The sequence below is a fragment of the Homo sapiens genome, chromosome 4 (assembly GCF_000001405.40).
Source record: "Homo sapiens chromosome 4, GRCh38.p14 Primary Assembly".
Classification (NCBI taxonomy): Eukaryota; Metazoa; Chordata; class Mammalia; order Primates; family Hominidae; genus Homo; species Homo sapiens.
Window position 1 is genome coordinate 123,649,507 of NC_000004.12, and position 23,159 is coordinate 123,672,665.

At 38.1% G+C, this 23,159-nt stretch overlaps 1 long non-coding RNA gene across 1 annotated transcript in view; it reads left to right on the forward strand.

Moving 5' to 3' along the window:
* The first annotated feature begins 484 nt into the window (after positions 1–484).
* The window catches only part of LINC01091 (long intergenic non-protein coding RNA 1091), a 280,788-nt gene continuing 258,113 nt past the window's right edge, over positions 485–23,159 (forward strand). Inside the window, exons 1-3 of the long non-coding RNA NR_027105.3 lie at positions 485–823; positions 3,281–3,396; positions 12,247–12,327. This is a non-coding gene — a long non-coding RNA (long intergenic non-protein coding RNA 1091). The remainder of the gene's footprint in view (positions 824–3,280; positions 3,397–12,246; positions 12,328–23,159) is intronic.

Here is a 23,159-nt window from a genome sequence, read left to right on the forward strand (position 1 = left end):
TACTCCAGAGGCCTAATAAAGGACTCTAATGTACGATACTCAACACAGCTTTAAAACATCCACGCAGAGTACAAAATTGTAGTAGGAATTTGGGTTTTGTTTTTCTTTTGAGTTTAATATGACTTCCTAGGTTCAGCGTATTTTGTAATATATTTCTTAAACCGCAGGATCATGAGGGCAAATTCCCTTGGGGGAAAGTGGCTCTGTGAGTTGATTAGCACCGTTTGCCTGCTTCCTAACCCTCTTCTGCTCAGGTATTAGTTGTTCAGACAGCTGAGCTTCAGCTCAGCTCTCCAGGTCCTGCGCTCCATTTTAATGCAAGCCAGTGATGCAAAGTCCCCGGCTTGGCTTGTCAGAACTTGATAGCTCTGTAAACACTGAAATCCTTGTTGCCATAACACCAGGAAAAATAATATGGGCTCCTGCATATAAATATAACGAAGGCCTTGGGGAATGGGAGCATTTCTAAATGACTTGAAGCTCTGTCACGGCATAATCTCTTATAAATAAATGTCAGTGTAGTCACTGAATGCAGACTGGATTTTTGCCTGACTACGGTGCTCAGCCTTCTAGACAATAGTTATGCTAAGGGATTATCTTTTAACATTGTGCAGTTATCTCCTTTGTTTGTTTTCTTTTTTCATTATTCACATAAGCCAAGGGAAATGAAAAGCATCTTATTTCAGGCAAAAAGGCCTGTGAATGATTAACTCTGGTTCCATGCGTTGGGACTTTGCATAGCAACCCCGTGGCTTGCAACGACAAAAAAGCTCAAGGCAGGAACAGCAGCCCAGGGACCTGAGACCAGCGTTCTCAAATGAAGGTGGTGAGAAACAGATTAAGTATAAGCATTGTGTTTATGGGTAGAATTCTCTGTAGCTGGCCCATTTAATTTGGCATTCGTTTTACTGCACTTTTCTTGGTGAAGATGTGTTTTGCTGACCTTTACTCTTGCTTTTTGAATACATTTGAGAATTCAAGTGAAACTTGGCCATGATTATGGCATAATGTGGTTTATGTCACCATATTTTATGGGTTCTCCCTAATACTATCCCAAACTGGGCTAACTCTGGCTAATTTTATATTTAAAAATGGAAATAACAGATAGCTTCATAATAGCATGCAGGTTTAATTTTAGCTCAACTAAAACTTTGTTGGTAAATTTTGGCACTCTTGAAATTATATATAACAGAAAGCATTATATGAAATAAAGATAAACAAATGGTGTGATTATGTAATTCCAATTAAAAGCCTATAAGTATGTAAAGAACCCAGATTGTACAAATATGAAATCTGAAATCAATATCAATTCCATATCCTTATATAGACATTTGGTGCTTAAACATTTATACAACAAGGTCCATTTAAAGATTCGAGTTAAAAGAGTTAGAAGAAAATGAAATATAAGCTAAGGACAGAAGAAACATTTGAGAATTTAGAAAAAAGCAGTATAGTTATAATTGAGCCAAAATATTTAGGACACTTAAATTTAGACTGCAAGTCAATCCAGATGTTTATTTATTAATGTTAATAATGTTTCCAGTGTTGTTATACAATGCTAAATCCCAGGGGTTCTGCTTCTGAGTTTAAAGACAAATGCAATGATCTTTATTCTTTTCCAGCTCTGTTTTAATTTTAGGAGCTTTTCTATAGCCATGATTTTCCCATAAATGTGTTTGCAAAATCTCGAGCAGCTCCTGATGTCTTGCAGAAAGTCTGAGTGAAACACTGCTCTAGCAAAGCTTTCCATGTTCTGCATTGCTCTTCTTGCTTCCATGGCAATAAAGAGAGAAACTTGGCATAAGAATATAATCTGTTCCTGCCTGTTTCTCATCTGAAGTCATAAACCTCTGCCATCCCACCCAAGACTAGAATTTCAGCTGGCATGAAACAGCTGTCTGCTTACAGGTTTATTCCGGTAGTAACCAAAGACAAAACTATTTTAATTGAAGGCCCTAGGCTGTTCTCCAAACCCTCACAATCTCTGGGTCATCCCCAGGAAGAAACCATTGAGGAAAAGGTACAAGTTACATTCTTTCTTATAGTTTTTGACACACTGTATATTTATGAAGTTGAGAACATTTTACCCTTCTAATTTGACTACATTGGATGCCATGGAGAAAAGGAGGGTCACAAACTCAAAAGCCCTGAGGGTTCAGGCACACAAACTAAGTCAGCAGAGAGTAGGCTGCAGTGCATGGGTGGAGTGTCCTGTCCGAAGGGGCATCTGCTACTCTGCTTCACTTATTGCTACCATGTGGGAATGTGGAGGCCCAAGTTGCTAGATATTCTGATTTGTCAATAGAAGTTCTCAGTCCTGCTTTTTATGGGAATTCTGCATAGTTTTAAATGTGGGCAATTATTCTGAATAAAAATCAAAACATTATGAATGTTAACCCAAACATGGCTCTGGATTGGATGTCTGGGGCTGCTTGGGTTCAACCCCTAGACTTTGCTCTTGACTCACTACTGGTAGACTTTGCATTTATCATTTGCTTAGGTTCTATAACTGTCAAGTAGCATAATTTATTTACACATTTTCCTTCTTACTCTGGTTAGTACTGCATAAAGAACACAAGTTTTGGAGTTGGGGAGAGATGTAGATTTTACTAGTTCCAGATTTTACCAAATTGTGACTTGCAGCCTCTTAATCCCTTGAAAGCCTCTCTTATGCCATGCAGAAATGAAAACCTATTTTACAGGAAGTTTGGAGGATTAAATAAACTAATATGTAAAATAATTAGCCCAGCCCTACAGGTGCTCTTTGCTTAGTGTTACCATTCTGATCATTACTATTAAGAACAAACAATACCATAAAGTGATCCACTTTAGAAGACACAAGGACTCAATCAGAAAGAGTTTCTCTCAGTATAGGGAGAAGAGCCTCTTTGTAGATCTAACATGCAATATAATACAAAATTGTATCAAGAGCCATCTTCATGTTCTTAAAGAATTTTGGGATTTTGTTGCTAGAGAAGACCTTGAGGAAACAGAAACTCTGACAACTAGAAATGACAGAAACATCAATTTCATCAGAGACATTAATATTTGGAACCATGACAAATAATGCTTTCCTTGAAATTCACTGTGACATATTAAGAACGTAACTTGTTATGAAAATAAAACCAAAGACTATATCTGGAACTATGTTGTAAAGTAAAAGAATGTAGGCTAAATTTTTTTCCTATCCATTTCTGTGGGATTATTTACTTTGGAAATAAATGGATGAAAGTCACTTAGAACATTTCCTGTTTTTTTTTTTTTTTTTTTTTGTACCCAGCCAGATCTGCTGTTAGAGGAGAATTCTTCTGTCCTAGCTGTGTCTCTGTGATCTGTGGATGAGGGTGGGAAAGCACCACTCAGTCAATTGGGGTGTACAAAATGGAGTTTGAGAAGGTAAGTGATGTTTTCTCCATGCTTTCTGTTCAAAATTAAGTGCAATTAAATGCTTTTTTTTTTTTTTTTTTTTTTTTTTTTTTTTTTTTTTTTTTTGAGATGGAGTTTCACCCTGTTGCCCAGGCTGGAGTGCAATGTGCAATGGTGCGATCTTGGCTCACTGCAACCTCCATCTCCCAGGTTCAAATTCTCCTGCCTCAGCCTCCAGAGTAGCTGGGATTATAGGCACCTGCCACCACACCCAGATAATTTTTGTATTTTTAGTAGAGAAGGAGTTTCATCATGTTGGCCAGGCTGGTCTCGAACTTCTGACCTTGTGATCCACCCACCTCATTCTCCCAAAGTGCTGGGATTGCAAGTGTGAGCCACTGCGCCCAGCCGCAATTAAATCTTTAACATTCAAAGGAAGAGACTTTCTTCCTTCTTTCCTTTTCCTGGAACAATGGAAAGTAATAACAGAAAATAAATCAGTCTAACAAATTGTCTAGTGGTAAAAACAAAACAGGGTACTGATGTAATATGGTTCAGTGTATCTTGGGTCTTTCACATGACATGTCCTCTTGCTTAATAAGAGTTCTTTGACAGTATGATATTGAGTGGTGAGATTGTGTAATGGATTATTTGAAGTGTTCATCTATAAGCCATTCATATATTTACTGACAAAACTCTTTTATTTTTAAAGCTTAATGGCAGTTAGTGGTGGTTATATAGGAGTCTGCCATAAACTCCATATCTATATATGGGAGTTTATTTAGTATTAACTCACACGACCACAAAGTCCCACCATAGGCTCTCTGCCAGCTGAGGAGCAAGGAGAGCCAGTCCAAGTTCCAAAACTGAAGAACATGGAGTCTGATGTTCAAGGGCAGGAAGTATCCAGCATGGGAGAAACATGTAGGCTGGGAGGCTAGGCCAGGCTCTCTTTTCACATTTTTCTGCCTGCTTTATATTCTAGCTACACTGGCAGCTAATTAGATTGTGCTCACCAGATTAAGGGTGGGTCTGCCTTTCCCAGCCCACTGACTCAAATGTTAATCTCCTTTGGCAACACCCTCACAGACATGCCCAGGATCAATACTTTGTATCTTTCAGTCCAATCAAGTTGACACTCAGTATTAACCATTGCAGTAATGAATAATAATATCTCCATCTACCGTAAGATAGGAACTATACTAGGCACTTAAAGGACATTGCTTATAATACTCATCACCCTTTATGTGGTGATATGGTTTGGCTCTGTGTCCCCACCCATATCTCATCTTGAATTGTACTGCCATAATTCCCACATGTTTTAGGAGGGACCCGGTGGGAGATAACTGAATCATGGGGGCAGTTTTCCCCATACTGTTCTCCTGGTAGTGAGTAAGTCTCACGAGATCTGTTGGTTTGAGCAGTTTCCACTTTTGCCTCTTCCTCATTTTCTCCTTGACTGCTGCCATCCATGCAAGATGGGACTTGCTCCTTCTTGCCTTCCACCATGATGGTGATGCTTCCCCATCCATGTGGAACTGTAAGTCCAATTAAAGCTCTTTCTTTTGTAAATTGCCCAGTCTCGGATATGTCTTTATCAGCAGTGTGATAACGGACTAATAATACATGTAGGTCTTCACGTCCGTTATACAGAGGGGGTAAATGGAGTCTCAGGTATAAATGGCTTCCCTCAGGGCATGTAGATAATTATAGGAGGCTAGAATTGAGCCAGATTTGTTGTTCTAGGCTCCTCTACTGTACACTTTCTCAAGTATTTTAGGGAATAATTTGTCCCACTTGTGGGACAAATGAATTACTTAGAAATCATCAGCAGTGTCTGACAGACAGCAATCCAACAGCAAAAACAGAGGTAGAACAAGATCAGTTAACACATATCAGAGGGAAAATTATTCAAGATCCCTTGCTATTTCTTAGCAGAGAAGGAAAGGTATTCTTCCCCTCTTGCTGACTGTATACATGACATGAAAGGAAATGGAAAAGAATTGAAAATAAAATGGCCATGATAAGGTATAGAATAAAGAGAGAATGGGATTGACAAAAGCATAAAGAAACTAGCTTCCCCCTCTCCTTTTCTCTCATGAACTCAGGCTCTTAAAAATGAATTAAGGGGGCTGGGCGTGGTGGCTCATGCCTGTAATCCCAGCACTTTGGGAGGCCAAGGTGGGTGGATCATGAGGTCAAGAGTTCGAGACCAGCCTGACCAACATGCTGAAACCCTGTCTCTACTAAAAATACAAAAAAAAAAAAAAAAAAAAAAAAATTAGCTGGGCGTGGCAGCACATGTCTGTAATCCCAGCTACTCAGGAAGCTGAGGCAGGAGAATTGCTTGAACCTGGGAGGCGGAGGTTGCAGTGAGCAGAGATCAGACCACTGCACTCCAGCCTGGGTGACAGAGGGAGACTCCGTCTCAAAAAAAAAAAAAAAAAAAAAAGAATTAAGGGCTACTAAATTTGATTGTAGAAAATGTCACCTAACAGCACCTGGCATTCACTAGACAAGACATGGTCATTCAATAAATGTGTGAGCAAGTAAAATCTTTGGTAACTTTGTTTCCATTCTTTCTAAAGACTCTTTACTCCAAATACTTTTTTCAATCCTGGTTCAGATGTCCCCATGTTATGAAGAGTATTAGATGATAAATAAATCAAAGGGCCATCCTGAGTGCAGAAAGAAATTCTCATATCTCATTGCAGATAAATTAGCATGACAAAATGCCTCCACTCTTTCTTTTCCTTTGGAAAAAGATTTTGGGTTTTTTACTCATATGTCTGTGTATTAGTCTGTTCTCATGTTGCTATGAAGAAATATCCAAGACTGGATAATTTATAAAGGAAAGAGATTTAATTGACTCACAGTTCCACATGGCTGGGGAGGCCTCAGGAAACTTACAATTATGGCAGAAGGTACCTCTTGACAGGGTGGCAGGAAAGAGAATGAGTGCTGAGCGAAGGGGGAAGCTTCTTATAAAACCATCAGATCTTGCGAGAACTCACTCACTATCATGAGAACAGCATGAGCAGCATGATGGTTAAATTACCTCCCACTGGGTCCCTCCCATGACACGTGGGGATTATGGGAACTACAATTCAAGATGAGATTTGGGTGGGAACACAGCCAAACCATACAATTCTGCCTTTGGCTTCTCTCAAATCTCATGTCCTCATATTTCAAAACACAATCATGCCTTTCCAACAGTCCCCCAAAGTATTCCAGCATTAACTCAAAAGTCCAAGTCCAAAGTCTCATCTAAGACAAGGCAAGTCCCTTCCACCTATGAGCCTGTAAAATTAGGAGCAAGTTAGTTACTTCCTAGATACAATGGGGTACAGACACTGGGTAAATACACCCATTCCAAATGGGAGAAATTGTCCAAAACAAAGGGGCTACAGGTCCCATGCAATTCCAAAATCCAACAGGGCAGTCATTAAGCCTTAAAATTCCAAAATGACCTCCTTTGACTCCATGTCTCATATCTAGGGCATGCCGATGCAAGAGGTGGGCTCCCATGGCCTTGGGCAGCTCTGCTTCTGTGGCTTTACAGGGTATAGCCCTCCTTCCAGCTGCTTTCACAGGCTGGCAATGATTGCCTATGGCTTTTCCAGGTACATGCTGTAAGCTGTTGGTGGATCTACCAGTCTGGGGTCTGGAGGACAGTGTCTCTCTTGTCACAGCTCCACTAGGCAGTGGCCCAGTGGGGACTGTATGTGGGGGCTCCAACCTCACATTTTCTTTCCACACTGCTCTAGCAGAGGTTCTCCATGAGGGCTCTATCCCTGCAGCAAACTTCTGTCTGGACATCCAGGTGTTTCCATACATCTTCTGGAATCTAGGTGGGATTCCCAAACCTCAATTCTTGACTTCTGTGCACCTGCAGGCTCAACACCATGTGGAAGCTGCCAAGGCTTGGGGCTTGCACCTTCTGAAGCCACAGCCTGAGCTATACCTTGACCCCTTTTAGCCACAGCTGGTACTGAAGCAGCCAGGATGCAAGGCATCAAGTCCCTAGGCTGCACACAGCAGGGGGGCCCTGGGCCTGGCCCATGAAACCATTTTTTTCTCCTAGGCCTCTGGGCCTGTGATGGGAGGGACTGCCATGAAGGTCCCTGACATGCCCTGGAGACATTTTCTCCATTGTCTTAACATTCAGCTGCTTGTTACTTATGCACATTTCTGCAACAGGCTTGAATTTCTCCCCAGAAAATGTTTTTTTTTTTTGATTGCATCATCAGACTGCAAATTTTCCAAACTTTTATGCTCTGCTTCCTCTTGAATGCTTTGCCACTTAGAAATTTCTTCTGCCAGATGCCCTAAATCATCTCTCTCAATCTCAAAGTTCCACACATCTCTAGGGCAGAGGCAAAATGCTGCCAGTCTCTTTGCTAAGGCATAACAAGAGTTACCTTAGCTCCAGTTTCCAACAAGTTCCTCATCTCCATTTGAGACCACCTCAGCCTGGACTTTATTGTCCATATTACTGTCAGCATTTTGGTTAAAGCCATTCAACAAGTCTCTAGGAAGTTCCAAACTTTCCTACATCTTCCTGTCTTCTGAGCCCTCCAAGTCTCTCGGAAGTTCCCTATTTTCCCACATTTTTCTGTCTTCTTCTGAGCCCTCCAAACTGTTCCATCCTCTGCCTATTACCCAGTTCCAAAGTTGCTTCCACATTTTTGGGTATCTTTATAACAGCACTTCACTATCTGTGGTACCAATTTACTGTATTAGTCTGTTCTCACACTGCTATAAAGAACTGCTCAAGAGTAGGTAGCTAATAAAGGAAAGAGATTTAATTGACTCACAGTTCTGCATGGCTGGGGAGGCCTCAGGAAACTTAGAATTATGGCAGAAGGCACCTCTTCACAGGGTAGCAGGAGAAAGAATGAGTGCTGAGTGAAGGGGGAAGTCCCTTTTAAAACCATCAGATCTCATGAGAACTCACTCACTATCAGGAGAACAGCATGACAAGCATGAGGGTAACCACCCCTATGATTACGTTACCTCCCTCGGGATCCCTTCCATGACACATGGGGATTATGGAAACTATAATTCAAGATGAGATTTGGGTGGGGACACAGCTAAACTATATCAGTCCATCTAAACAATTATTTTTGTTGTTACTTTAGAACATCCAGATGGGGCTCTTAAGAGTGAGGAAATCATATAAAGTTTGGTTCTATGAAGAGAAGCAAAGAAGGCAAGGTGAAATCACAGAAGGCCAAGTTTATTACTTATATTAGTTCACAGAGATGAAGTTCCAGGCACCGTACCTTCCTTGTGGCTATAGATGTCACTATCTCAAGAATCATGTAGATGAGTAGTTCTGAGTTTCCCATCAAGTTCCTGAATCAGAATTGCTCAGGGGAGGGAGAGGCATATCTTTTTCACTTTATGAAGGTTCCACAGGTGGTTCTGATGTGCAACCTAGGTCATATAGCTGACTTAGACCCTTTAGGTAATTCACTCCAGATTTTTTCCTCATTCATTCCAAATGAACACACACTACTGCACGATTTTTACATCAGGTACTCAGATCACAACAATGAGAATACAGCAAAGGGATTCTAAATAAAATAATATAAAATTCATCAAAATATGCTTCCCTCCAAAACATTGTGATTTTTGAACTAGATGTGATAAAATGGAAACAGAATCTTGAAAGTGCACATGTAATTAAGGTCAAAACAACAACGTTAGTAAAGTCAGATCCCTGATCAAAATTCCAGAGAGTGGGATGTTTGAAAGTTCACCAAACTAATGTGCCTGATTTGACCCTCATGATTTTTCACCTAAGAGGTTAGGGATGCTGGCAGCAGAGTTGCAAATAAGCTTGGAGCTTTAGGAAAAATAAAATTTCAGAGGGGGAAGGATGAGGAGGGGAAGAGAGAGAGGGAGGGAGAAGAGGCACCAACATGAACTGATGTAAAGTGAAGAATATCCTGGGGAAATAAAAGGAAGACCTCTATTGAAAAGAAGAGCCAAGAACATTAGAGTAACTAAGAATGAACCAATAAATGTGGGATGCTCCTGAGATGCTGGGGGCATATGATCGAAAGGCAGTTGTGATAGAAGCTGAGCAAGTGACGGCAAGGCCAAGGCAGAGGACCCAACAGTTCCAGGGAGTGGATTGAGAACTCAATCTGCAGCAGTAAGTGAACATAGAAGAAACCAGTGAAGATAGATGCCCCCAAGGGTCAGGGTTAGGAGAGTTGCTTGTGATAAGAAATGATATTAACCCAGAGAGGGCTTGGAGGAGGCTGATGCTCAACCCTCAAAAAGCCAAGTAACAGGACATTATATCCTTCTAACTCCACTCATCATTTCAGGATACAGTTTTTATCTTAAAAGTCCTTTTTTATTGTAGTAAAAATAGTGGTCCACTTGGAAAAACTATGCATTCAGCTCCCAGTAGATGCTCTGGGTATGATGAATGGCCAGAAGGAAGAAAGGGGAAAGGTCAGGGGCATGGTCTTTGGGAGAGAAAACCACCCCCTTTTGTCATCAGATAGCTACTGGAACTTTGCAGGGGAAGGATTATCTGGGATGTAAGTCAGAGGTTGTGTATCAGAGATGGAAACCTCCAGGTCCAGAGTTCAGAGGACAGAATTGTGGGAAGATAACAGGGTGTGTACATGACATTTGGAGAGGATAGGCATGAAAGAACCTGATAGAGATAATCCACAGTGGAAGGGCTGCAGTACCTCCAGAGCAAGTGTGGACTATAAACAGAAAACAGGAAGAGGAGCCTGGGGAAAACAGAATCCAGAAAGCACACTGGAGAAAAGAAAACTCAATATAAAACTTAATGCCTGGAAGAGAACTAAAGACTCATCAGAAACTTCTTGAAAGGACACCTCAGGAAGATGCCAGCTGAGGTGGTGGCTGAGGAGGCATCCAGTTGCTCTGCCACTCTTTTGACCTGAAGTGAAATAGAAGGTCTGGGGTTATGCAGGTAAAGATCGCTTACACATCCTGGAATCTCAGAGTATCAGCCTAGACCTGGGGAAAGAGGGAGGTGAGACTAGGTCAGAATTCTAAGAAGTGAAGCCTCTTTGGGATACAAAATAAAAGTAGTACAAGGGAGCCCCTTGTGGAACTTTTTAAATACCCAAGACTGTTGACAAGTTGGGACAATTCTGTGACAGATCTCATAAGATAGAAAGTTTATGTTTACATTTAGCAAACTTGATGTGTTGGACTGTGGCTGGGGTGAAGGAGGGGATGACACTGGGAAGACCAGGAAGAGATGAAAGGCCATAACTCAAAAGGTATAAGTTCAGGAAGAGGAATTTTCCCCTTACTGGTCGTGAAAGGATCATGTAAATGACCCCAGGCTTAGTGAAGTGGGAGCACCATAAGATAAGTCTCTTCTGTGGTGTTCTGGTCTTGACAACAAAAGTATTTTAAATAAATTGGTTAAAGAGCATAAGAAATTGTGTAAGCATTAAGGAAAAAGTATAACTAGCTTCTATTTAGCTTCATATAAGGATATAACATAAAATATTTTCCAAAAACTAGTACAAAATACATTGAAGTACTATTTGAATATCATTGGTGTTTTCCAGTGGAAAAAGAAATTTATATTGAAAATGCCAACTTTACAAAATAAAGAAGTGTTTAGAACTGTTCATCACTACAGGTAGGCATGCTCTATCAGATAGTATACCTTGAGCAAGAAGACTTTATGGTGATTTGAATCAACAAAACACCATATCTTGTTCAAAAAAGGTGCTCAATATGTGTTTGAGTGGATAAAATGAGTATATGTTGAGTAAAGAAATTAAAGAATAAATTAAAGACATAGTTGTATATTCCACTTGGGAAGTCTTTCTCCAGGGATGGGTTAGCTGCCCTTCCAGGGGCTCCCATTCTACCATGGGTATCTCCTATCCTATCCTGTCCTGTCCTGTCCTACTTTATGCTATGTTCTCTAATAAACTATAAGCTACTTGAGGTTAGGAACTAGTTCTTATTCTTCATGATAACTGTAGCCCTGACCATAGTGCTCTGCACATGGTAGATATTCAAGAAATAGTTGTATAAATGAATGGCATTTAAGCTTAAGCCAAATGCTAAATTAGCATCATACCTGGGAAATTAAGAGGGGTTAATTTTTTAGGGGTTAATACTTGAATGTTTTTTAGAAAGTCCATTAAGGAGCTATGATAAGAGAGAAGCAGAGGAACAATTCGGACAGTGTTATTATTTTAATTTGACCATATATTTGGAATGGAAAATGGATTGTAATGATTCAGAGCAAAGAATTCCTTTCTTGGAAATGAAAGGCTGGAAAATGAAGCATGGAGACATACTTCTTATTGAAAACACAGCAGGGGAGTGTCCTTCCCCCTAAAATCATTCAGACTGTCAGATTAAACATATATTATTTCTTAAAAAAATATTCCCAGAGGAAATCCAGCATCTATCTCCCCCTACTGGTGTCATATTAAGAGTGATGTCTGACTGTTTTCCCTTGAAATGAGGAATGTTCTAATTAAGATGAACATTTTAATTTGTTATTTGGACAAAAAAAACTTATATAAAACTTAAGCATTCTACAATGGACATTTGTGTTGTAATGAGCTTTAGCAATATTTGAGATATACATTGTTTCATCACACATAAAGAATGGTTAAATATTCTGGCTAGTTCATCTGCCATTAACAGATTTATATGACAATGGATTGTAACTGATTGATACAATGAAAGTTTTATTTACTACAGAAAATTTCAAACATATACAAAATATAAAGAATAATATAATTCTTTACATATACATACATATAATGGGAACTTCCATGTCCCATTATCTAGCTCCAACAAACAAGTCATAACTAATCTTGTTTCATTTATTACTTCCCCAAGGTCTCACATCCAGGTTGTTTTGAAGCAAAGTCCAAGCATTGTATCACTTCATCTGCAAATATTTCAATAAGTACCCAAAAGGTAAGGATGCTTAAAATATCCTCATAATATCATTATTATGCCTAATAGGTTTTTTTTTTTATCAATTATCTAGTCAGTGTTTACGTTTCCACAATTGTTTTAAATTTTGTCATTATTTATTTTATAGCTTGTTAGAAACAGGCTTTTAATAAGAGCTATAGATTATAATTGTTTGATATGTTTCTTAAATCTCATGGAATTGTAAATTCTTCCTCTATCAATTTTTTCTTTTAAAAAATATAATTATTTTTATTTTTAAAATAGATTTAGGGAATATAACTTTTTTCTTGCATTTTTTTTTTTTTGCTAAAACTGCATCATTTGTGTTCTGTGTTGTGTCTTATATAATGTGCCACAATCTGGAATTTGCTGCCTGGATCCCCATGGCATCGTATAAGACATTCATCTGTCCCTTGTATTTCTTGTAAATTGGTAGTTAGATCCAGAGGCTTAAGTTTATTCAGGTTTGATTTTTTTTTTTTTGCAAGAAGCTGTTATGCACTTTCATCACTCAAAGTTTGGCAGCAATTGAAGTTCATCATCTACTCCAGACTCTCTAGAGCAGCATTCGCTAATACAAGTTTCTATGGTGATGGAAGTATTCTATATCTGTTCTATCTAATATGGTAGCCACTAGCCACACATGGCTACTAAGCACTTGAATTGTGGCTAGTGTGGCTGAGAAATTGGCTTTTTATTTAAAAACTTTTAATTACTTTTAATTTAAATAGTCACATGTGGCTAATGATTACCATAGCAGATAATATAGCTCTTGACTCATTAATTCATTAATGGCTAAAAAATAATAATCTTATTTTATAATTTTTTCTTCATTAATTAAAATATTTTTATAAAGAGAAACTTCCTCTTATCAACTGAATTGTTGCCATGAGATTCAGTTCATACAATACAGGCAGAAAAGTAGTTTAATTTTCCCCCATATTTATCAGTTATCAAATAATGAGTTGATTCCCTAGTATTCTCCAAAGGTGACCCAAGGAGATTTTTTTTGTTATGAAGTCATATTTTGTATTTTAATTCATTGTAATTATTCTTATTGATGCTCAAATTGATCTAACCTTGGCCAGAGAGAACCTATTTCTTTTGAGTGCTCTTCATATGATCCTGTGAATATCAGTGTCCTGACTTCATCTACATTGTTCCAGGGTCATCTTATACATGGCCTGTCTCATGTCTAAAATTAGCCATTTGTCCAAGAAGCCCTGATTCCAGTTAGTAGTCTATTTCAAGAACATATCTGGACACTTGGGGTGATCATTGCTATTGGGTTGGTAATTCTTCTAGCTTGATAAAAGCACAACTAGAAATAGATTTTTTTAAAAGATAAACTAGATCATAAATTTATCTTGATACATTCAACTTAAAGTCAGGCAATGGAATTGTCTTTGATTTTAACTTTTTTTTTGTTTTTATGGTGAAAACCTGGAGTTTTAATAACATTAATTTAGTTACCCATTTCCTTTATGCCACAATATATACACAGTAATTTCAGAATAAACAATACCAACAATACCAGCAACAAAATTATTATTGAGAAAGTATAAGATTTTTTTTTTGATTTTGCATAATTTTTGTCCTTAGGGTCCTTCTCATGGATGACATTTTATTGTATTTTAGGTTTATATGAAGTAGTTCATCCTTGTGTGGTTTTGCCACAAACTGGATACACTTTTATATTTCTTTCATTTTATTTTTAGATAAATGAGATATCTTTTTAAGAAATGTAGTTTAATTTTATGATTATGTAAGATATTTATAAATGTGGTTTGAGAGTAAAATCTATAAAACAAAGTATTCAAAGATGTTTAGATTCTCTATCTCCTTAACTCAATTTCCTCACTCCAAGGATTTATTTAAAAACATTTACGATTTAATCCTTCATTTATTGTTATTAGCAAAGATGTGTATATATTTTTATCCTTCTTATATTAACCATAGTATACTATATAAAATTTCTCCCCTACTCTTTGTAAAAACTAAATGTATCCTGGAGATCACTGAACAATAATATGTAGAGATTGGTCTCATTTCTTTTTACAGCTGCATGTGTTCTATATTTCATTCAATAATTGCCTCCCCCCAGCAACCCTTTTTTTTAAAGACAGAGTCTTGCTCTGTCACCCAGGCTGGAGTGCAGTGGTGTGATCATAGCTCACTGCAACCTTGAACTCGTGGGCTCAGGTGATCTACCTGTTTCCAAGTTGCTTGACTACAGGTGCTCACCACTGTGCCTGGCATTTTTGCATTGTTTGTAGAGACAGGGTCCTGCTATGTTGCCTAGGCTGGTCTTGCACTCTTGGCCTTGAGTGATCCTCGCACCTTGGCCTCCCAAAGTGCTGGGATTATAGGTGTGAGCTACCACTCGTGGCTAATAATCCCCTTATTAATGAGCAGTTACGTTGTGGAAAGTTTTTTTTTTTTCCAAATGATAGCTGCAGTAGCAGTAGCAGCAGCAGCAGCAGCATCAAATATGTTACCTTTCTCCATAATCTTTGCTTATTCACTAGGTTTATGTAGGTATTCATAAAAATTTAAAACATAAATACGTTATATTAATGACCCAAGACAAGTGTTGGTAAAAAACTAAGGTACATTAATGCAAAGTTATAGGTCTTGGTATCCTCCAACTCAAATAAAATATTTTAATTTTCATTAATTATCCCATTAGGGGACTGATTAGTATTTTTCTGATTTTCAGACTTCCTAGGATAGAGCTTGGAAAGGTTGGAAAAGTAAGGATGATTGAACTTGAAAGGTGTGAATGAAAGAAGAATTATCTTTTGGGATGGAGAATAGTAGCTGTTTTCAAAGAAGATTTTATTTTATCTTTCATTTTTGGCCTATAAGTTTTGCAGAGAATCTGTGATTAGAGTATTTAGTAAAGTACTATGTAATTATTGTTCTGTTATTTGGACACATGTTTAAACTAGAATTTTGAAGATAGCAATTAGCAATAATTATGTATGTTCTAGCCACTTTATTCATTCTACCTCTTTTACCATATACTTTAAAGATATCTATATGGTAAAAGGTAAGTGGCAACTGAATAATCACAAATACATCAACAAGTAAAGAGATGCTTTGTTTTATTGAGTGCATTCTTATATTTTCTCTTTTGCTGGAATAATAAGTGGGGTTTTAAACTGATCTGTTCTAACATTGTTTTTCCTCATTTTCTCTCTCTTTAGAGGGTTTCAGCAGGTTTTCATACATTCTCAGTTAGAAGCTGTTATAATTTTTAAAATAATACTCTAGTTCTAGTTATTCTATCACGAGCTGATTCTATTTATACAACAAATAAATACTAATTAAAACTACTCTATAACCTTGAACTGTACATTAGGGAAGTTATACCTATGGTGGATGACTGAAAAGAGAGTCCAGGATAAACTGATACATCTAATTGCACATAGTAGCCTTCGAATCAAGACTCTCAAATAGTAAAATGCACTAAGCCAATATGGATGGGAATAGCCTCCTGCTGTTTTCCCAACTATTTGAATTTTTAATATCTTCTCTTATAGCTATATACTTTTGGTTCATTTATGCTAGCGGTGTTATCAGTGAATGTATTTTTAGATTCTGTATTCCATATTTTAGATTCTGTATTCCATATTTAATGAAATTTTATTTATAGGAAAGAAAGAATGGGTATGCATAAGGACCTAATCAAAGAGGCCTCTGACACCTGTTGAGCAGTTGTGTGAGTGTGTGATTATCCATGGAAAAGAAGATCAGAGGGAAACGGTGTTTAAAGCCTTTGATTAGTTAGCAGAGAGAATGAAGCAAGCCAAGTGCTTTGCACAAAGTGACAGAAATGAAGGTAGAAGAAACAGTTACAAATGGTGGTGGTACTAGAAGTAAGCTTCCCATAACTTCTACTCCGAACTTCAAGAAGGCTGTGGTTTTGTGGATATTCTTCCTTTGGCAGTCTACTAAATTAGAAGAACTGGAATATTAATAGTATTGAATTCTAGCTCTTCAAAAATATCACCAACACAATCTGTTGTTTATAAAAGCTGAGTTTATTCTTACCATCGTAAGGAAAAGAACTGCCTTGACAGAGTCTTACTAGTCTTGGAATGAGGATGGCAAAGTTGGGATTCTTAGGAGGTTTGGGGTCTAGTATGAGGTGAGTTTTCATTGTGGAGGCTTGCTTGATCAAGGTTGAGTAAGGTGGGTGTAAACAGCAAGGCTAGGGCATTGAGGTGAGGAAATTCAGAGTCTTGGGAGGTAAACTATAATTTCATACTATGTATGGAAGAGTTGAACAATGCGATATTAATTTAATGGGGTTCTTGGAAAGTTCCTGGGAAGATTAGTAATTTGCAACTTTTATCTTACTGGGCTATAGTTTCTTGGAATAGTAAGGTAATGATAAAACAAATACTATATGTGATTATTAGCCAAATTAATCAAGTTTATGATTTCGTTGGTTGCTTCTCAGATTTTTTTTTAAAGATTCCAGAGAAATCTACTGGGATGTGAGCACAACATTCTTAACCTAAAACAGCATATGTTCACCCTTTGTAGCTTGACATTCTGTCTAGAGCAATGATCCCCAACCTTTTTGGCACCAGGCACTGGTTTCGTGGAAGACAGTTTTTCCATGGACAGCGGTAGTGAGGGATGATTTCGGGATGAATTTGTTCCACCTCGGATCATCAGGCATTAGATTCTCATAAGGTGTGTGCAACCTAGATCCCTCACATGCACAGTTTCACGATAGGGTTTGTGCTTCTATGATAATCTAATGCTGCTGGAGGAGGAGGTAGAGCTCAGGCAGTAATACCCCCTTGCCTGCTGTTCACCTCCTGCTGTGTGGCCTGGTTCCTAACAGGCCACGGACCAGTGCTGGTCCACGGCCTGGGGACTGGGGATCCTGGTCTACAGTGTCTCTGTTCTGAACAACTGCCTGTCTGATTTCATGAATCTCTCATGTAAGGAATTCTATAGACTTGGTGTCATTGTTTAACTATCTCCCTTGAACTATGGCCTGTAGGATTCTGCCTGCTTTCTAGTCCTTTTGTAAAGCATCAAGAGAAGAGGTTTGAGGAGACAAGGAATTAATACAGAAATCTCCCTGAATAGTTAGGTTCAGTTTTTCTTCTTCTTAAATTAAGTTTTCTAATGATCTCTTTTTTCTTGAGGGGAAACTCATGGGGCAAAATGGACTCTAGGTGATGTCAGAGATCATGCTAAAGGTAGGAATCCATTTACCAAGATAACAATCCTTGTTTAATTTTTAGTAGGAGCCTATTGATTTTTGTTCAATAAATCCAATACCAGTGACTGGGGACTACCCAGTGATTTGATTTTGGTCCGTATGTGGTTATCAAATACTCCCATGTGGTTATCAAATAGTGTTTTAAAGTTTGGTGCTCCTCATCAAGAATGATGTTTCACCAGGCAATGACATTTGTATTGTTGAAATTATTTGGTAGATATAAAGCAAAAGTGAAGTATGTTTATTTATATGATATGTGAAAATGATACAGCCTCCAAATACATACCATCTGTTTTCTAGTTCTCTTTTAATTTCTATTTCTGTGAACATTTGGATATAAAAGTTTTTACCCTCAAAAGGTTCTAGAATATTCTTTTGGTGGAGACAGGAATCTTCTTTTCTAGGTATGATGTGATGCTGTGGGTAAGATTACCATCTGGTTGACCTGTTGTGCATTTTCTAGCTTAAAAAAAAATAACCTAAGGGTTGAATCCAGTTACCCAAGAAACTAACTGATTCACTACAGGGAACTGGTACCAAGGGAAGCTAGATGACTCTCAAGTGAAAATGTGCAAACTCCACGTTGATTTTCCAGCTAATGAGTAAGTTGTAGTCACATATTGGACTTATACCATAAAATGACTAAGCATGTGAAAAGCAACATTAAGAATAGCAGCCCCAAAGATAATATAGAAGTAACATAGTAGGCTGGGCGCGGTGACTCACGCCTGTAATCCCAGCACTTTGGGAGGTTGAGGCAGGTGGATCACGAGGTCAGGAGATGGAGACCATCCTGACTAACACGGTGAAACCCCGTCTCTACTAAAAATACAAAAAATTAGCCGGGTGTGGTGGTGGGCGCCTGTAGTCCCAGCAACTCGGGAGGCTGAGGCAAGAGAATGGCATGAACCTGGGAGGCGGAGCTTGCAGTGAGCTGAGATTGCGCCACTGCACTCCAGCCTGGGTGACAGAGCAGGACTTCATCACAAAAACAAAAAAAAAAAGAAATGACATAGTAAAAGATAACTTTAGATGAGCAAAAGAGGAAAGAAAGTGGCTAGGAAACAAAGAAAATAAAAGAATGCAGATTACAACATAACAATCTGTGGAATTATTTCATAAATATGGGATGGAAGTGGCCACATCTCATGCAGTCATCTTGATCTGAAATTTTTGGGTCTTGTGTCTCCTTTGATGACCATTTGTTCCTGTATGGTTCCTAAAAATACTCACATTTTTCCAGTAAAACCTGTCTTCTAGATTATATATTCCTTTTGAGTTCATTATTATGAAACCCAGAGTTTTGCTGTTATGTTAGTTCTTAACAGAACCTGATGGGATCTCATCCATCAGGGTTCAAGGACTGTCTTTCTCTGATCTCACTTCCAAAAAACCAGGTCTCTAGATTTCAGACCACAGGAGGATGTTGAAGAAAGTTTGCCTGTGTGGTTGATGATAACACTGAGTTTATTTTGTGAATGCTGTGGAGTATTTGGCCATAGTTGCTAGGAATAATATATGGAGTCCAGAATTGGATGATAGTCCTAGATGAATGCGCTGACCTATTACTAAGTGGAGTTTGTAAGGGGGAAGTGATGAACTCCAGATGAGTTGGTCTTATTGTCATTAAGGTGAATGACCTTAGACCAAGGATTGGTAAACTTTTTCTGTAAAGGGCCAGGTAGGAGATATTTTAGACTCAGCAGGCCATGTGGTGTTTGTAGCAATTACTCAACATGAAAGCAGATATAGACAATATAAAAACAACGTGGCTGAATGTGTTCCAGTAAAACATGATTTACAAAATACAAACATTGGGCTGAATTTGGTCCAAGGATCTTATTTCCCTACCTTAGAGCACTTTGGCCTTATGCTTGCTTTTAGCTTTCTCATGTGCCCTAGGTATTGGGAGGACGAGAAGCAAACAGCCATTGGGAGGATCTATACAAGCAAGCAGTTTTGTGCTGCTAAATTTGGATTTTGGGGGAAAGACAACTATCTTTGTTTACTAAGATACCAAGGATGCTCAGTTATTCATTCATTAATTCCATTATATGAAGCCTACTGTGTGACAAGTCCTGGAGATACAAAGATGAAAGGTGAAGGCCCTGGTCTCAAAGGAGCTTTTTTTCCTTAAGATTTTATAAATAGATACTCATGGCATTATAGGATATGGTGAAAAACAGTGTGCTAATTTGTTGTCAATAAAGTGAACTCAGGATCTAAGCCAGGTGTGCATGTGTGTGTGAGTATATGTGTGGATAAGGCCAAGTCTCTGCAAAAAAAGTGTTATCTTGGCCAGGCATGGTGACTCATGCCTGTAATCTCAGCACTTTGGGAGGCTGATGTGGGCGGATCACGAGGTTAAGAGATCGAGACGATCCTGGCCAACATGGTGAAACCCCGTCTCTACTAAAATGCAAAAAATTAGCTGGGCATGGTGGCGTGCGCCTCTAGTCCCAGCTACTCAGGAGGCTGAGGCAGGGGAAGCACTTGAACCCAGGAGGCGGAGGTTGCAGTGAGCCGAGATCGTGCCACTGCACTCCAGCCTGGCAACAGAGCAAGACTCCATCTCAAAAAAAAAAAAAAAGTGTTATCTTCCCTTCCTTTTCTTCTTTTTCTCATTTCTTACGTATAATATAATAATGCTGTGTTTTGAAGGCAAACTTTCAAATGCCTTTGGATAGTTGTGGGGATTTTGCATCCCTTTGCTACAAAACATGTCTTTTAGAAGATGTTGAAGACAAATCCTTCTTTAAAGCCCATTCGTCTATGGGCATCATTGATAAGATAACCAAGGTGATTTAAATAAGTAAAAAGTTATTTCAGTTGGGGCCTTGCATATGTAGAGGGGAAATGAAGAAAGTGTTCTCAAGAACTCTGAATCTCAAATCTCACAAACTCCCCACTCTTCCAGTTTGAACTGGACACATCTGTATGTTAGGCCCTAGATTTTACAACTTTATTGCCTTTTCTTTGGACCAGTTTTATGGGAATGGCCTGTGAAACAGCACCTATGCAGAGTAGGGAAAGCTAACTCAAGATAGAGGCAAAACCAGAGAAATCAGGTGTTTACAAGGAGTCAAGAAAGTATTTACCTTTTAAGAAGGGCAAGAAATTGTGGTGAAAATATACTTGAATATATTGAATCTATATTTACCTTTCTAAGCAGGTTATACTTCTCAGTATATAAACATTTGGAACCGAGGGGTTCCAATCTGCATTTTCTTTTTTTCCCCCTTTTATTTTATTTTACTTATTTATTTATTTTTATTTTTTGAGATAGAGTCTCACTCTGTTGCCCTGGCTGGAGTGCAGTGGCATAATCTCGGCTCACTGCAACCTTTGCTTGGACTACGGGTGTGCGCCACTATGCCTGACTAATTTTTGTATTTTTAGTAGAAATGGGTTTTCATCATGTTGGCCAGGCTGGTCTCAAACTCCTGACCTCAGGTAATCCACCTGGCTTGGCCTCCCAAAGTGTTAGGATTATAGGCGTGAGCCACCATGCCCGGCCCAGTCTGTATTTCAAAGATTTGTCTATGAAATGGAACAGTCACACTAAACATACTGCAGTCATACCAATGAGAAGGCAAAATAAATAAATAAATAAATAAACAAAAAATACCCCCCCCCCAAAAAAAACACCAAAAAACCAAAAAACAAACAAATGAAAAACAGAGAACAAAAACCAACACAAAAACCCAAGAACTAGCTGGTGGATTTGTCATTCTTGTATGAAAATTTCTACTTGCCTACAGTGATGGCTTTCCTGCTTTGGGTTTTTATAGTATTTGGCTTTTTGTGAGATTCGTATATTTAAAATAAAATTTAATATCTATTAAATATTAAAGCTACTTGCTGGCTAGTAGTTTCAATAATTTATTATGTATATCTTGTACAATGTCCTAGTTTCTTATTTTTTGTTTTTCTTAGAGCCTCGTAGAGCTTAGATTAGAGTGAGCTGAGTGAGGCACTCAGCTTGGAGACCCAATTTAAGGGGGTTTCAAATACCTCAATAATGAAATTTTAATGAAATATTTAAAAAATCAAAATTAATGCAAAAAATCCACGATGAACATCTTATCAAAATTTTAAATAAAGACAAGACCTACTCTGCACTTGAACAATTCTGTCTCATTCACCTCACCCTAATCCTGGCCCTGGTTCCAATGAAACTTAGTTTAAAAACAAGCATCTAGCCCCCGGGGCATAGTTTATTGGTTAGAAACAAAATCACATTAAGCTCTTATTGATTACTGCATTTTCTGGCACCCCTTAATATTTTGCATCCTAGTCCTGGTCCTACCTCTCAGCTACCCTTAGAGTTGATTAAATCCCACTGTATTACTTCTATAGGTAAAGTTTATGTGAAAGCTCACAGAGGTGATAGGACTAGCCCAGGTTGAGCAGACAAGAAATAATAGGGTTAAACTTACCATGGTTTTATGTCCTCTATCTTCCCAATTAAATTCCTTGAGGATAATATTTTCGGTTCTTATTTCTTTCTGTTATACAGTGCCATGAGTAAAGCAGTCTCCCCAACCCCTGTACTTGTGATTGTCCTGCTATCTGCCTACCATCAGTTATTTGTGTGACCTTAAAGGAGCTGCGTAGTTCTTGTTGTCTACATGGCATCCCAATTCTGGGTAAATTCAATGAAATAGAAAAGAAAAGAGTAGAAAGCAAAACAAAACCTTTCCCTGAAACTAAAATCCACTTTCATCTCACTTACATAGACAAAATAGCTGACTCAGTATTTGAAATTTTTTTTAATCAACTGGTTTGTAGTGATGTATGGATACAAGCAGAGTTCCCTAATACTTAAGACAGATTCATCTCCTTAGTAGAAGTTAGTAGAATTAATAAATAATAATTGAATGCTGTCCACAAAAGACAATGTTTGAGCTGGTAATTATTAGACCAGGTGGCTAGTGTTTCTTCATTTTCTCAAGAGGTGGGAAAAATATAAGAATTTTCAGTCTAATAACAATTATATAAAATAGCACAAGGTATGGGCAGGGGCGTGTGTGATGGCGGGAAAGCAGTGGGGAGGGAGGAGTTGGAAAAGAGGAAAGCACAGTCATCTTATATGGTTTTTTGGTTAAAACTATGAGAGATTTGTGGGTTTCACATCAGTCAACTTTCATTATTCTTGTTCCCATCTTCTCTGATTCACATGGTTTCAGTTTCTTTTGAGACGTCTTTGGTTCAAAACTTTATGGCCATGAAACAGAGTTTTAAAAACAGTTTAAAATTTTTTTAAATTTTAAAACTGTTTTAAACTGTTTTAAAAACAGTTTAAAATTGACAAAAAGTTTTGGAAGCAATCAGTGAGTTTTGCACAACTTTACTAGCAGTTATTTTTAGTGTGAAAAATGGTGCTATTCTATGATAAACATGGGTTAGGAATGTTTATGTCATTATTATGTAGCTACTTAGAGAAATAAGACCACAGTGTTACATATGTTTGTTGGAAATGGAACTTATTGGAAAGTTAAAAGGTGGAGATTATAATATATATACAATATGTGAGAAATATATTTTTTATATATGAGGAATATATTACATGGAGGCATAATTT